The 15772-nt window shown below is 40.6% G+C and overlaps 1 protein-coding gene and 1 long non-coding RNA gene across 2 annotated transcripts in view; one reads left to right on the top strand and one right to left on the bottom strand.

Annotated features, from left to right (window-relative positions):
* Nucleotides 1–15772, bottom strand: part of TEAD1 (TEA domain transcription factor 1) — a 270317-nt gene that overhangs the window by 8625 nt on the left and 245920 nt on the right. Inside the window, 2 exon segments of the mRNA NM_021961.6 lie at nucleotides 5787–5939; nucleotides 11061–11201. Of these exon segments, the coding sequence (NP_068780.2) occupies nucleotides 5787–5939; nucleotides 11061–11201 (294 nt within the window).
* Nucleotides 13188–14927, top strand: TEAD1-AS1 (TEAD1 antisense RNA 1). Its single transcript, NR_199594.1, has 2 exons — nucleotides 13188–13662; nucleotides 14837–14927. It is a non-coding gene; the product is annotated as a TEAD1 antisense RNA 1 (long non-coding RNA).

Genomic DNA, 15772 nt, shown 5'->3' with positions numbered 1-15772 from the left:
TGTGTTTGATTACGCCAAAGCATTGTTTGAATGAAAACATTTTGAACTTGAGAGCCTCTTCCAGTTTGTTATAGGCCTAATTTCCCTCTAAGTATCAGGCTGTTTCCCCTGTTTAGTTTCCCTTGCTCTTAAGGTATCCAAGCTTCCAGTCCCTACTTAAAGAATAGTCTTGCAGTACATCTCATTTTCCCATCACAGCATGCTATACAGTTGGTAAACACATACTGGCGTGTACAATTTTTTTTCTAATATCCATCTCACCCAGTGGAATATAAGTTCCTAAGGAACAGGGGCCCTGTTTCCCAGCAACTAGCTTGAGGACATGGCACACAAGTCATTTAATAAATATTTGCTGGGCCGGGCGTGGTGGCTCACGCCTGTAATCCCAGCACTTCGGGAGGCCAATGCAGGTGGATCACAAGGTCAGGAGTTCGAGACCCGCCTGGCCAACACTGTGAAACCCCGTCTCTACTAAAAACACAAAAATTAGCTGGGCACAGTGGCGGGAGCCTGTAATCCCAGCTACTCAGGAGGCTGAGGCAGGAGAATCACTTGAGCCCGGGAGGCAGAGGTTGCAGCGAGCCAAGATTGCACCACTGCACTTTAGCCTGGGCAACAGAGCAAGACTCTACCTCAAAAATAAATAAATAAATAAATAAATAAATAAATAATTGCTGAATGAATGAAAATTCACATCAGAATAGCCAACAAATATTGAGTGTTTACTATCCATCTACTCAGTATCAAATGCTTTACACAGATTGTCTCATATGATATCATACGACCTCTAGGAGTGGGTGCTCTTTGACAGGGAAGGAGCTGAGAGGTTCGTTTGGTCATGGTTGCATATTCACCACGCAGAGAGCTCTCAACTGTTTCTTCCTCAGGAAGCCTTCCTCAGCTTCCGCCTGAACTAGGTCAAATTCCCCTGTTCTACGAATGCCCTGCGTCCCTCTGCCAGGTAGCAAGAGCTACAGTTTTCATTTATTTTGTGATGACTTGATGCATGCCTGCCTCCTGCATCAGAACCCAGGATGGCGGCCCACCTGCCTAATTCACCATAGCACCCCAGCCCCTGGTACCTAAGTATGTACCCATGGGATACCCCTATTCTTAGTAATCAGAAAGATGTCTCCTTATCCATCGAGGCAACATCCCTGAGAATCCCTACCTCATCACTCTGCATTTCAGAGGTACCTGTTTCACGAGTACACTACAGCCATCATTTGCTTGCAATGGTTTATTTACCTGCCTCTTTCATCCTGAAGGACCATGAATTACTACGTGACAAGTGCTGGGTTTTATTTGCATTGTATCCCAGAAGGCAGTACCATCTCTCACAGCTTAGCTGAATTAAAATATTTCAATGATAACCTCTGAGGTAGAAAGTGCAGACTTGAGCATTCTGTTTATAAATCAAGGTGAAACTGATGTCTGAAGACTAAGTGACCAAGGCCATAAAGTCTTAAACTCAAGTCTTTTGATTTCATGACCATAAGATACCTTGCAAGGTCTTTTCTATCCATTCTTTTTTTTTTTTAAGTTTAGCTTTATTTATTTATTTATTTTTTATTATACTTTAAGTTTTAGGGTACATGTGCACAACGTGCAGGTTTGTTACATATGTATACATGTGCCATGTTGGTGTGCTGCACCCATTAACTCATCATTTAACATTAGGTATTATCTCCTAATGCTATCCCTTCCCCCTCTACTCCCACCCCACAACAGGCCCCGGTGTGTGATGTTCCCCTTCCTGTGTCCATGTGTTCTCATTGTTCAATTCCCACCTATGAGTGAGAACATGCGGTGTTTGGTTTTTTTGTCCTTGCAATAGTTTGCTGAGAATGATGGTTTCCAGCTTCATCCACGTCCCTACAAAGGACATGAACTCATCATTTTTTATGGCTGCATAGTATTCCATGATGTATATGTGCCACATTTTCTTAATCCAGTCTATCACTGTTGGACATTTGGGTTGGTTCCAAGTCTTTGCTAGTGTGAATAGTGCTCTAATAAACATACGTGTGCATGTGTCTTTATAGCAGCATGATTTATAATCCTTTGGGTATATACCCAGTAATGGGATGGCTGGGTCAAATTGTATTTCTAGTTCTAGATCCCTGAGGAATCGCCACACTGACTTCCACAATGGTTGGAACTAGTTTATAGTCCCAACAACAGTGTAAAAGTGTTCCTATTTCTCCACATCCTCTCCAGGACCTGTTGTTTCCTGACTTTTTAATGATCGCCATTCTAACTGGTGTGAGATGGTATCTCAAATTTATTTCCATCACTGGCTCTGTGACCTCGGGGTGGCCTGACATTCTTTATCCATAAAATGAGAAAAATGACCTCATAGTCTGAAAGTGAGAATTACATAACATTTACAAAGGGTCTAGCACAGCACCTGGCACCTCTACAACCTATTCAAACTTCTTGCAAGCTTTCTATTAAATAAGAATACAGTTGGCCCTCCCAATCTGCGATTCCACACTGGCAGATCCAATCAATATCAGATTGGAAAATATTTGGGGACGAAAAAAGACATAATAAAAATAATAAAAATTTTAGAAATATAGTATAACAACTATTTACATAGCATTTACATTGTATTTGGTATTATAAGTAATCTAGAGATGATTTAAAGTATAAGAGATGATTTGTATAAGTTATCTGCAAATACTATGTCATTTTATATGAGGTACAATTTCTCCTGTTCATCAATTAGATGATTTTATTTTCAAAATCCAAGAGTGCTGGCTTAATTTCAGTTTTTCTAAAACTAAACTATTAATTCTAATATATATTGATTGATAGGTATTAATTCTCCATATTAAAGGAATTTATTTAGTTGCTTAATGACACATTTTGAAATTAATCTAACCTGCTAAGTTATCTGGATGGCTGTATTGGTTGAAGTCATATTTTGCAAGGCAGCATTAATGATATACAGTGATGAGTTGCTTAACAATGAGGACACCTCCTAATGTGTAATCAGGTGGTTTTGTCATGCGAACCAACAGCATAGAGTGTACTTACTCAGACCTAGACGGTACAGCCTACTACACACCTAGGCTATATGGTGTAGCCTATTGCTCCTAGGGTACAAATCTGTATAGCATGTTACTGTACTGATTACTGTAGGCTATTACAACACAATGGTAAGTATTTTTTGTATCTAAACATATCTACACATAAAGTACAGTAAAAATATGGTATAAAAGGTAAAAAGTAGTTCACCTATATAGGGCACTTACCATGCGTGGAGCTTACAGGCCTGAAATTTGCTCTAGGTGAGTCACTGAGTAAGTGACGAGTGAATGGGAAGGCCTAGGGCATCACTGTATACTACTGTAAACTTTTGTACTGTACACTTAGGCTAACCTAAATTTATTTTTAAAAATAATTATGCTGTATTATATAATAGTTGCATCATCACTAGGTGACAGGAATTTTTCACCTCCATTATCATCTTATGGGAGCACTACCATACACGTGGTCCGCCCTTCACACTGCTATGCAGTGCACAACTGTAGTCAGGTTCTGTGGGTAACAGGGGCTTTAACACTTTTCCAGGCCACATTTATCTTAGCTGTGCTCTCTGAGGTAGAGTTTTACGGACTGAGAACATGCATCCTTAGCATGCAGAAACAGAATCAGAATTGATTTTTAATAAACAGCTAAGACTCCCCCCCAAGAGAGGCAGGGAAGCCATTCATTCAGAGTTTTGGTTAATTCCTGAGGCCACTTAAGATCCTCAGTAGATGTCACACTTACCTTCTACTCGTCTGACTGCTAAAGTGATGCATCTATTCTTAGATAGCAACAGGAAGCACCTATATGTCAAGCACCTGCTATATGCCAGTCCTGCAAACCTTGAATTGCTCTATTTTCACCAAAGGGCCATTAAAGAAAGGAATACTGATCAATGTTATTAAAGAGCATGTATTCCAAACTTCCCCTGAATGCTGGCTTCTAAATTTTAGAAGGACATGGGCACATCTGAGAACCCATTAAGATTCTCTTCTTGGAACAAACGAAAATTATATGCAAAATTATCTGTTTGCTAGTTGTATGCCAATCATGTGTCTATAAACTCTGAGAGTCCTTGCGGCTCATTTCCCAATCTCTTACAGCAGTGGGTCTCTACCTGGTTGCACACTTCAACTACATGCAGAGCTTAAAAAATAAAAACCAGGATGCTGGGCCCCATCTCCAGGGACTCATTTTATTCATCCAGGGTGGGGCCTAGGCCTTAGATGTTTTAAACCTTCCTGGATGAATCTAATATGCACAGGGTTTTTATTTTTAAATGTTACTTATTTTTTTTTATACAATGGTGTATAGAAGCTGGCTCCTACTGGCTCATAAAAATTATTGTTAAATATTAAGGAATTTCATTAGCTGAATAGCTATCGGTAGCTTGAAATTGCCCATGAAGGGCATATTTACACCACAGAAATAGGTAAAAGGTATAAATTAGAGTTTTGGGAAACTGGGAAACAGCCTTTCTAAAAAACAAAAACAAAACAAAACAAAACAAAAAAACAGAACACTGCTGATTGAAAGCCACTGTCCCAATGGAACCAAAAACACCAAGTAAAGAATTCCTGCTGTATGGATTCTTAATCCTAGTAACAAAAAGGAATAAAGTAGGCTTTCAGAGGAGTATTTGGCCACAGTATAGCCTTGTTGCCCCTCTTTTGCTAAGATTGTTTCCCTCAAGTTTTGTTTTGGCATTTTCCCTTTAATCAAGTAATGTTACTTTTTTAAATGAGCCTTATGAAACCCATTACTGAGTATTTTCTATTTTGAGGATGACATTGTTCCTAACAACTTCTGAAGTCCCCAAATAAAGCTCCCAGAAGAAATTTGTTTTAAAGTTAAGTATTAGGGGAAAACCCACATAGAACCATCCAGGGGCACTGGTGAGTTTTCCCATCATGGACCTTGAACACTATTTTCCCTTTCCTTTAGCTGCCCATTAAGTTTGTTTTGTCTGTTTGTTTTGAGATAGGGTGTCACTATGTCACCCAGGCTGGTCTTGAACTCCTGGGCTCAGGGGATCCTCCCACCTTGGCCTCCCAAAGTGTTGAGATTAGAGGCATAAGCCACTGTACTCAGCCTAGCCAGATTTTTTAGCCTATGAAGAACATTTTCCTCCTCCTGGTCACTGCATTCCATGCATTCTATTCTAATTTATATTTCTTCTGGTACTGAGAGCTTATATTTTCCTGCCTTAATGCATGTAACTTCTTAGAAGGCCTTGGAAGTCCATCATGGAACATGTCAAGGTATGTCTGAAGTACAAACATACCAACTCAGCTTTTGCCTGATTTGCATACCATGTTGCTGCTGAGACTAAAACTTGGCTAATGTTGAAATTACCTGCGGAACTTAAAAAAATACACATGCCTGGGTCCTGTTCTCACAGATCCTGATTTAATTGATCTAGGATACAGCCGGATGTTTAAAAGTTCTCCAGGCCTTTCTACTCTGCAGCCAGAGATAAAAACACATCACTTTTTATTACCCAACTGAATTCCAGTTCTGCGAACCTTAGAAACCCCAGCCAGATAAAACCCCTTCTCTTCTACAGAATCAAGCCCAAGTTTTCCCTATGGATGATGCAAATTCAACTGCTGACTGACCACTAGGAACCCAATCCAACAACCTGGTCAGTTCCCTCGGCGCAGGCCCAGCGCCTCCCAGGCCCACCTTCCTCACTTCTGTCAAGCCTCATGGCAGCATCTGCCCACAGAGGAAAGAGACAAAACCATTACCAATAAAATTGTGAAGTTTTCCAAAACACTGTTCATCATATATTTCTCTGGTAAGTGTTTGAGCTTGTGGATGAAGTTGATCATATATTCACACATTGGGGAGCGGTTTATTCGGTATACAAATCGGCCATTCTCAAACCTTGCATACTCCGTCTGTGAGGAAAAAAGGATTTCAGTATTTTTACACTTTTGACTCCAAAACACATGAAACAGATATTACTGCCCATAAAAGCATTTTAGTTTTTCAACATGAATCATCTTCTATATGCTATACTACTTACGTAATCTACTTAATTAAAAAAAAACTATCTCCAAATTTATTGCTATACATAGAATCCATTATTTTTCTGGAAGTTTTTTAAAAAATTAGTTGGAAAGATGAGAGCTTTAAGAAGCGTTGACAGATCCTTTTAGCAAAGGTCAGAAAAAAATAAAACTGCCTAATTATGATGCTTTACCTGGAGGAGATCTGTAAGAGCAGGCCCCAGCTAGCTACAGTTCTTCAAAGAAAATCTCTTTATTGTGATAAAGCCTCATAGGTTAACAACCAATATAGCTAATCTCTCTACTTTAGAAAAAACTGATTATTTCTCACGGATCATGAGCCCCTGAATGTCACCTGTTTATGAAAGGAAGAAACTAAGAAAATACTAGTATATATGCAGTTTCAATAACTCAGAAATAAGAAACAAGGCTTCCTAGATAACCTTGGATCAAAAGGAATTAAGAAAATTATAAACTAAAGAGCAATGAAAAGGGAGATATTTTACATCAAAACGTATCAGCCATGATGAAGCTGCACTTGAAGGAAACTTAATGAAGTAGCCTCATATGTCTTCATCATTAAAGGTAAAAATTTACAGAATAAAACACACATCCTTAAAAAAAAAAACCCAAACCACAAAGAAATCAAAGGAAGCCAGGAAAAGGGAATTAATAAAGATAAAAGCTCAAATCAATGAAATAGAAATTTAAAATGCAGACAGAATTAAAAACTGGTCCTTTAGACAGACAAAATAAACTCTTCATACAAGTAAAAAGGAGAAAAAAGAAAAGTGGCAAAACCACAATTACAGTACAAATTAGAAGATACATAAGAGATTATTTCACATAACCCTAAAGCAGACACACACACACACACACACACACACACACACACACACGGCAAAGCAAAGAAAACACAGCAGATAGAGATGCTTTCCCAGAAAAATACAACTTGCTAACACTGAGTCAAAAAGAAGGGGAAAATGTCAACAAATAGATCAGTCATTGTGGAAATGACCACAACTAACAAGTTTAGCTATTTACCACTGAAAAAGGTGGAGGCCACAAGTGATATAAAATCTCAGTTAGGAGAAGTAAGCTCAAGAGATCTACTGTACAACATGGTGACTACAGTTAATACCAAGGCGCTGTATCCTCGAAAACTGCTAAGAGAATATTTAAGTGTTCTCACCACAAAAATTGGTAAGCTATGTGAGGTAATACATGTTAATTAGCTCGATTCAGCCATTCTACTGTGTATGCATATTTCACAACATCATGTTATACACCATAAATGTATAAAATTTTTATCTATCAATTAAAAATAATTAATTAAAAGTACATGCTAAAAAACATATAAAGACCAAATAGTTTCACAGGAGTAAGTTTTATGTAATCTTTAAAGAATAGTTATTTCCAGTGTTATTCTTTTTATGAAACTAGTGTACATTCAAGACTGAAATTTGGCAAACAGGTTATTGAAAAAGGTATATAGTTGGGTGTGACAGCTCACACCTTTAATCCTAGCACTTTGGTAGGCTGAGGTAGGCAGATCGCTTGAGCCCAGGAGTTTCAGACCAGCGAAACCACATTTCTACAAAACAATACAAAAAATTAGCCAGGCATGGTGGCACAGGCCTGTAGTCCCAGATACTCAGGAGGCTGAGGTGGGAGGATTGCTTGAGCCCAGTGAGGCTGAGGCTGCAGTGAGCCAAGATCATGCCACTGCATTCCAGTGTGGGTGACAGAGTGAGACCCCATCTCAAAAAAAAAAAAAAAGGAAAAGAAAAAAGTATAGACGAATATTACTTATGAAATGTAATGTGAAAATTCTGTGTAAAATATCAGCAAATAGAATGCAACAATAAATCCAAAGTAAGACTGTTTCAGAAATGCTATGGTGTTTCATACACATTGAGGAAATGTATTAACTTGTTATGTCAACAACTTGGAAGAAAAATCATATAGCAACAGTTGCTGAAAAGCATTTGATAACGTATTGCAGCTGTAACTAATAAAAATCCTAAGTAAAATAGGAATAGAAAGAAAACACTTAAATTAGTAATAAAGACCATTAATAAAAGCCTACAGTAAATATAATCCTAAAGGGCAAAACACCAAAACTTTTTCAACTAACATCAGTTAACTATACAAGGGTACCCCAGGAATCTGGGGGAAAAACTAAAGTTAAGTATGAGAATTTGCTAAGATGGCCATATTGAAGACAGATATGCAAAATCAAGAGCTTTTCTCTATTAATTCGAATCTAGAAACAGGAAATTACAACATATTATATAATATTTAGAAATATATTTAACAAGAAAGAGACAAACCTGTATAATGAAAATGATAAAATCTTATTGAAATACATAAAATGAAATGAGAATGCAAATACATTCTTGATTAGAAATATTTAATATAAAATTTTTCCAAAAGAACATCTAAGTTTGATGCAATTACAATTAGATTGCTCAAACAAGGTTTTTGTTTTTCTTTATATGTTTAAGTGATTGAATTATTTGGAAGAATAAATGTTGGTTACTAGCTTAGAAAATATATGAAAAAGAATAGTGAGCCTGACTCGCCTCATCAAATATCAGTATATACTATAAAGCCACTGTAATCAAATCCACATGGTACTGGGATACGTAGACACAAATAGTGGGTGGAATAGAACAGTGGGACTCCAGGAACAGCTCTCAGAATATATGGTAATTTAAAGGGGACAGATCTGTTTAACTGGGAAAGAATGAATCATTTCATAAGTGGTTTTGATACAAACGCCTATCTGGAAGAAAATATAAGTGGACTACTACTTCACACCAAATGCAGACACACATTCTAAACAGATAAAAGGCTTAAAGGTAAAACCCCACCTACCATGCACACCACCTTCTCCATAAAAATTCCTGTGATTTTATCAGTCAAGAGCAACCTTTCCCTGCTCCCTGAATTTGCATAGAGCTTTGGGTGTATCGTCTGAGGACACCAGTAATTTGACATTTGGGAAATTGAGTAAGCTGTCTGGTTCATCTTTTCTCAAATGCACCTGTCCAGGCAGGGAATTTCAACTACAGAGAACATCCCTGACAACTTAGCTATTCACTAACATTGCCTAACACTCATCTTCCACACTCCCAATCACACACAGGTAACTTTGCTTCCTCCTTCTTAGAGGCGAGGAGGTCATCTGGTTCCAGGCGTCCCAGCCATGTTTCATGATACAGCCACCTTCTCACCTCCTGGGCTTCCTAGACATTATGTTGAGCCAATTCCCGCCCTCCCCACTCATTTTTGTCCTCTGTTCTTCTGTTTATGTCTCCCTCTACTTATCCTAGGGCTAGTGGCTGCTCCCCAAATTTAATCCTTATTCCTGTGCCCTTTCTATTCCCTCTCTGCAGCTAGGTCTCCATTCCCAATCCTTAATGCTCAGGATTCCCAATTTATATTTCCAGTCTTTACCTGTCATCCAAGTTCTAGTCTTGCATCTATAATCATTGCCTATTTCCTCTTGAACACCTTATTTCCTTATCTCTATTAGTGGCAGTACCATCCTTCCAAGCATAAAATGTGAGTGTGACTTTTGACTCTTCCTCCTCATTAATATCCAGTTAGTTTCTAAGTTCCATTCAAAACATCTTACAGGATTCCCACTGCCACCATTGTGGGAAAGCTCATGACCCCTAAGCTTAAATTGTCCATCTGAGTCAACTCCCCTGGATCCTCTTCTGCCAGCATAACCTTTCCTCAACAACATTCTCATAAGGCCTGTCCATTGCTCAGGGGGCTTGTGCTACGAGGGCCTGCAGCATCCCAAATCCTCATTGCTTAGCCCAGGGTCTTAAGAAATATATCCTTCTCCCTCTCTCCCTCCTCAGCACAAAGTCTTTGTACAGCTAAGGTGGGCTCTTGAACCTGAAAGGTCTGGGGCCACTGCAAATAAAAACTGCTCACTGAACATGGATCAATTAATTGGGTGATGGATAGAAGACACTAAAAAATACAACCTTTAAGGAATGCCAACAACAAACATTATTCAACAAAGCAACTCACCCTGATCAAACAAATATACATCTTTTTAAAGGGAGGAAGGTATGAAACATAAAAGCCGTAAAAAGAGATTGGATCCTAATATATAATAAACTCTATCTAAAACAATTAAAAGCGAAGGCAGTGGAAATGGCAAAAGCAACAATATCAAACTCAAGGTATCATGGTTTCAGAGGGCAGGTGCCAATCAGCTGAGTACCACCTTGACGTCTATCTACAATGCCTGGGAGTGCCCTTGGACCTAGGGGTTGGGTGTAGGGAGGGCATCATTCTGAGTGGCAGGGCCTATCTCGACCCAGCTTTCATACCACACTACCCCACAAGGCCTCAAGCAAAGGTGCACAGCACTGGCTGAGCAGGGCACAGCTGACTTCAGACACAGTCAGAGGACTGGCACGGGACATCCTATTTGCTTCCTTTCAGGTGCTTCCAAATCACTTTGGCTTTTTAGAAGTTAACAGGAAAAAGAAGTGGGAGAAAGAAGGAGGGTGATATGGTTTGGTTGTATCCCCACCCAAATCTCAACTCGAATCGTAATCCCCACATGTCAGAGGAGGGGCCTGGTGGCAGGTGGCCCCCAGGCTGTTCCTGTGATACTGTGGGAGTTCTCACCAGATCTGATGGTTTAAAAGTGTGTGGTGGTTCCCACCCACCTTTCTCCTGCCACCATGAGAAGACGTGCCTTGCTTCCCCTTCACCTTCAGCCACCATGATTCTAAGTTTCCTGACACCCCCCAAATCATGCTTCCTGTTAAGCCTGTGGAACTGTGAGTCAATGAAACATCTTTTCTTCATAAACTACCCATTTTCAGGTAGTTCTTCATAGCAGTGTGAGAATGGACTAATACAGAAGGTAAGAAGCAGACATCCAAAAATACAACTCTCTGCCCCAAGGAAGGTTTAAAGGAAGGCAACAGTCTGCCCTTGAATGAAGTTTCCAGTATACAGAGGCCAACTTACCTCTACTTTTTCTACTACTTGCTTCCCAAAGGAGCAAACTTTGGTGGAACAGGTGACTGTCATATTTTCAGAACTCTCGTACTGACTGGTTACACCATAAAAAGCCCCAGCATCATCTTGAATATTGCAGTTTAAATCAGCCTGTTGGAAAGGAAATGGAGGTGTGGGTTATTCTCTCATCCCAGGAGTCATGGCACCGAGCAGTAACTTTCAGGGTAAGACCTCTGCTTGGCTGAATGAAGAGGGCTGGCTTGGGAAGGTGATGCTCATCTAGAAACAAGTTCAATACCCATCTGTCGTTTTTTAAAGAGTTTGCTAATTTGGGCAGTCCTCTCTTGAAATGACATGCTACAAGTATCAATTTTGTTTTACTTTCTTGCATTCAGTATCAGAATACTACTATACCCTTGCAATAAAAGATCCACAAGGTCTTTGAAATATGCACAGAAAGCAGGATATTAATTGGATTCATGTTCACTCATCTTTAGAGATATTTTTTAAAAAAAACAAGAGACTGCAGCTGACTAGCCATTTGTCATATATGTACAAACAGAAACTTTCTTAAAAATTAGAATATCTGGAGGGGAAATGGTTCCTATTAAAGACTGGCTTACAAAGATGTTAAATAATGACTTAAGTTGCCATTCATTTAACACATTTTTATTAAGCACCTACTATGAAAGGTTCATGCTAGACAATGTACGGGTTTTGCCTACAACTGATATGGAAGATACATAAAATAACTATCATTCAGATAGAAAATAAGTACCATGTCAGAGATACTTAGAGTTGCAGCAATGGAAGGTATGACTTTCCACAGGTGGTCTCAGTTGAGGAATGATTTAGACTGGCACATGCAGGGAAGGCTGGGGGTACAGTGCAGGCCAAGGCCTGGAGTGCTGCATTCTAGCTTCTGGGCATGGATTAAGGACCTCAGACTGGGAGTTTGGAAATGCAACTTGGGCACAGGTTATGGGGGCGAAGAAGACAGTTTAGATTGTATTTTGTAGGAAATGGATACTCCCTTGAAAGCCTGCGTGCCAAGGAAGTGGTATGATTAGCACTGTGCTTCAGAGAGAAATGTCTTCAGCAGGATGCAATGTCCACTGGGGAAACTGGCTGCTGCAGCGTTTGATCATTGCAGTGGTCTGAATGTGCCCCCACCAAATTCATGCATTGGAAGCTTAAACCCCAGTGCAACAGTGTTGGAGGTGAGGCCTTTTGGGATGGGTTTAGGTGTTGAGCCTCTGCCCTTGCATATGGGTTAACGCTGCTATAAGTAGGGCTTTCAGGAGTAAGCTGGCTCTCTCTGGCCCTTCATGTGCCTTCCACCAGATGCTACAGATTCGATCTTGGACATCCCAGCCTCTAGAAATGTGAGAAATGAATTTTTGTTCTTTATAAATTACCCAGGCTGTGGCATTCTGTTGTAGCAGCACAAAACAGACCAAAGACAGCCACAGAGTAATAGCTGCCTTCCCTCAAGTATCTACCAACCCCCTGCTCCGCATCCGGCACAATGCTCAGAGCTGCGGATAAAAAAAGCAAAAGCTGAGCCAGGGCCTGCTCTCGTGAGGCTTACAATTAAGTGAGGAACATACCACACGGAACTAAGCACCAGGGAGAGAGGTACGGGGGGACACGAGCACAAACGGTGAGGAGTGGGCCCCCAGGGTCAGGGACACTTCTAATGATGATGCAACTCAGATCCCAAGAAAGAAGACGAGGCTTAGGCAAGAGAAGCATTCCATAAGAGAGAAGAGGGCACAGAGCCAGAAAGAAGCGCTAAAGAGAAAGCAAGAGAGAGAGGATGGCAGGAGAGCTGGAGAGGTGAAATATCCTGAGACCAAAGGACACAGTGAGCAGACAGGCCTGGAACAGTGACAGGGCACAACCAGCTCTGCCTTCCAAAAGGCACCTCTGACCATGGCTCGGAGAAGACTCCGGAAGAGAGCAGAAAGTATGTATATATATATATACTAGGAGGCCATTATAGCAGTCCAAGCGAGAGATGATAAATGTGGACTGCCGTGGTGGTTGTTGAAGCAGAGGTACGTGGATCTGACACTCAAATGAGATTTTATATTTTGTGCGGTTTGGCACTTTTTTTTTTTTTTTTTTTTTTTTTTGAGACAGGGTCTGGCCCTGTCGTCTAGGCTGGAATCACTGGTGCGAGGCTCACTGCAACCTCCACCTCCCAGGTTCAGTGGATTCTCCCGCCTCAGCCTCCTGAGTAGCTGAGATTACAGGCATGTGCCACCACGCCCAACTAATTTCTGTATTTCTAGTAGTAACAGGGTTTTGCCTTGGTGCCCAGGCTGGTCTCAAACTCCTGGCCTCAAGTTATCTGCCCACCTCAGCCACTCTAAGTGCTGAGATTACGGGTGTGAGGCACCGTATTGCTCCAGATTTGGCAGATTCTGACTGGCTAATTTTTATACCTTGACAGGCACTAACCACTAAGACCTGAGTCATCATATACTTTAAAATAAGTATCTACATTTAAATTTCCTTTTTGAATTGGTTATTAGGAAAATGTCCAACTCCTTAGGCAAAACTTCCTACTTTCTGTCTACAAATAAAGAGAACCGCACTTTGGGAGGCCGAGGCGGGCGGATCACAAGGTCAGGAGATCGAGACCATCCCGGCTAAAACGGTGAAACCCCGTCTCTACTAAAAATACAAAAAATTAGCCGGGCGTAGTGGCGGGCGCCTGTAGTCCCAGCTACTTGGGAGGCTGAGGCAGGAGAATGGCGTGAACCCGGGAGGCGGAGCTTGCAGTGAGCCGAGATCCCGCCACTGCACTCCAGCCTGGGCGACAGAGCGAGACTCCGTCTCAAAAAAAAAAAAAAAAAAAAAAGAGAACCATGTACTCCACATTCCCCTTTTCACCTTATGTGCCAAGAAATTCAAAGCTAAATTCAGAGTTCAACTACAATAATTAACTTGTCTCAGGTGCTTCTAATAGCTACTAACAGTCAGGGTACAGCTCCTTTTACTGGTTTCCAATCTGCTTTAACTTGTACTTATCCGGTTTTATGTTACCCATAAATGTAGTGAGCTTTCCTCACATTCTGCATTTTGGATTTTATGGGGTATAAATCATAAACAAACAAAAATACCCAGGTGTGCATTTTTCTCACATTCAAAGGTTTAACATTTGGCTCCACAAAAGAGCAGCTCAGCAGGAAATCATGCATGTCTTTCCCTAAATGAGATCAGCATCTGAACTCCCAAGGCTGAAGAGGCCCCTGGGTCTAACTGAGCTCCAGTCTCCAGGGCAGAGGGGCTACCATACACCTCAGGCACACAGGGGCTCTGAACACTGGAATTCCCATCGAGCTTTCAACATGGCAGTGTTACCTTCAAGAACTGCCACTGCCTCGCTTTGCTGACACCTTAGAATACTTCGCTGTGAAAAGCAGTTCAGGTGCTTTATGGTGGCAGGATTAATGCTGTTATTATTATGATGTAGCCTGTGCCAAAACGTTCCAGATTTTTTTTTTTTTTTTTTGAGATGGAGTTTTGCTCTTGTTGCAGACTGGAGTGCAATGGCACGATCTTGGCTCACCGCAACCTCTGCCTCCTGGGTTTGAGCGACTCTCCTGCCTCAGCCTCCCAAGTAACTGGGATTACAGGCAGGCGCCACCATGCCCGGATAATTTTTTTTGTATTTTTGGTAGAGACGAGGTTTCTCCACGTTGGTCAGGCTGGTCTCGAACTCCCATCCTCAGGTGATCCGCCCACCTCGGCCTCCCAAAGTGCTGGGATTACAGGCCTAAGCCACCATGCCTGGCGCAGCCCAACATTTTTTAAAAAAGTGAAAACATGCATGTGGTAAAGACGGGGGAAAAATAAAACTGTAAAATGGGCATGAACCCCAAAATTTGCCAACCTCCCTAAAGGTAACCAATGTTATCCATTTCTCAAGTGTCCTTTCAGAGATATTCAGCACTTAGGTATTCAAGCATATACATTCCTCCTTTATCACACAAACAGTAGCACATTATATTAACTTTTCTAAAACCTTGCGTTAAACATATATATATACCTATGCCACTTAGAACTCATATAGTACTAACATGGAATTTCAGTACTATAAAGTACAGCCATTTGAAATAATGAACAGCCACACTTTCTAGTGGCTGCACACTATTCTATGGCACAGATACACCATAATTTAATACACGCTCTACTGATGAATATCTATGATGCTTCCCAATGATGCTGCAATAAGTTTGTGTTGAGCAGAAAAGGTGCATTAGAAATTATTTTTCTTTCTTTCAACTTTAAATTCCTAGCTTTGAAAAAGAGTCTCCATGTGCTATGAATACACTGTAAGCTAACATTGTACTAGTTGATTTTGATTAATCAAGTTGTTCTGAAAGACTAGTAAATAATCAAATGCAGTCTAGCAAGCTGGGTGTGGTAGAATACCTGTAGTCCCAATTACTCAGGAGGCTGAGGCAGGAGGCTCGCTTAAGCCCAGGAGTTTGAGACCAGCCTAGGCAACGTAGCAAGACCCTATTTCTAAGCATGGGGGAAAGCAGTCTAGTGATTTTGGTGTACAGACTGGACTATGGAAGGGAACACAGTGAAATAAGCAATTGTGTATGGGGGCAGGTGGGTCACTGGGAGAGTAAATAGATTGTTTTTAAAAACTGTCAACCTTAAAACAGAAAAAATAATCTGTCAATATATATAATTTTAAA

The sequence above is a fragment of the Homo sapiens genome, chromosome 11, assembly GCF_000001405.40.
Source record: "Homo sapiens chromosome 11, GRCh38.p14 Primary Assembly".
Lineage (NCBI taxonomy): Eukaryota > Metazoa > Chordata > Mammalia > Primates > Hominidae > Homo > Homo sapiens.
The sequence above is the reverse complement of the archived record's forward strand: the minus strand, read 5'-3'. Positions and strand labels throughout refer to the sequence as shown.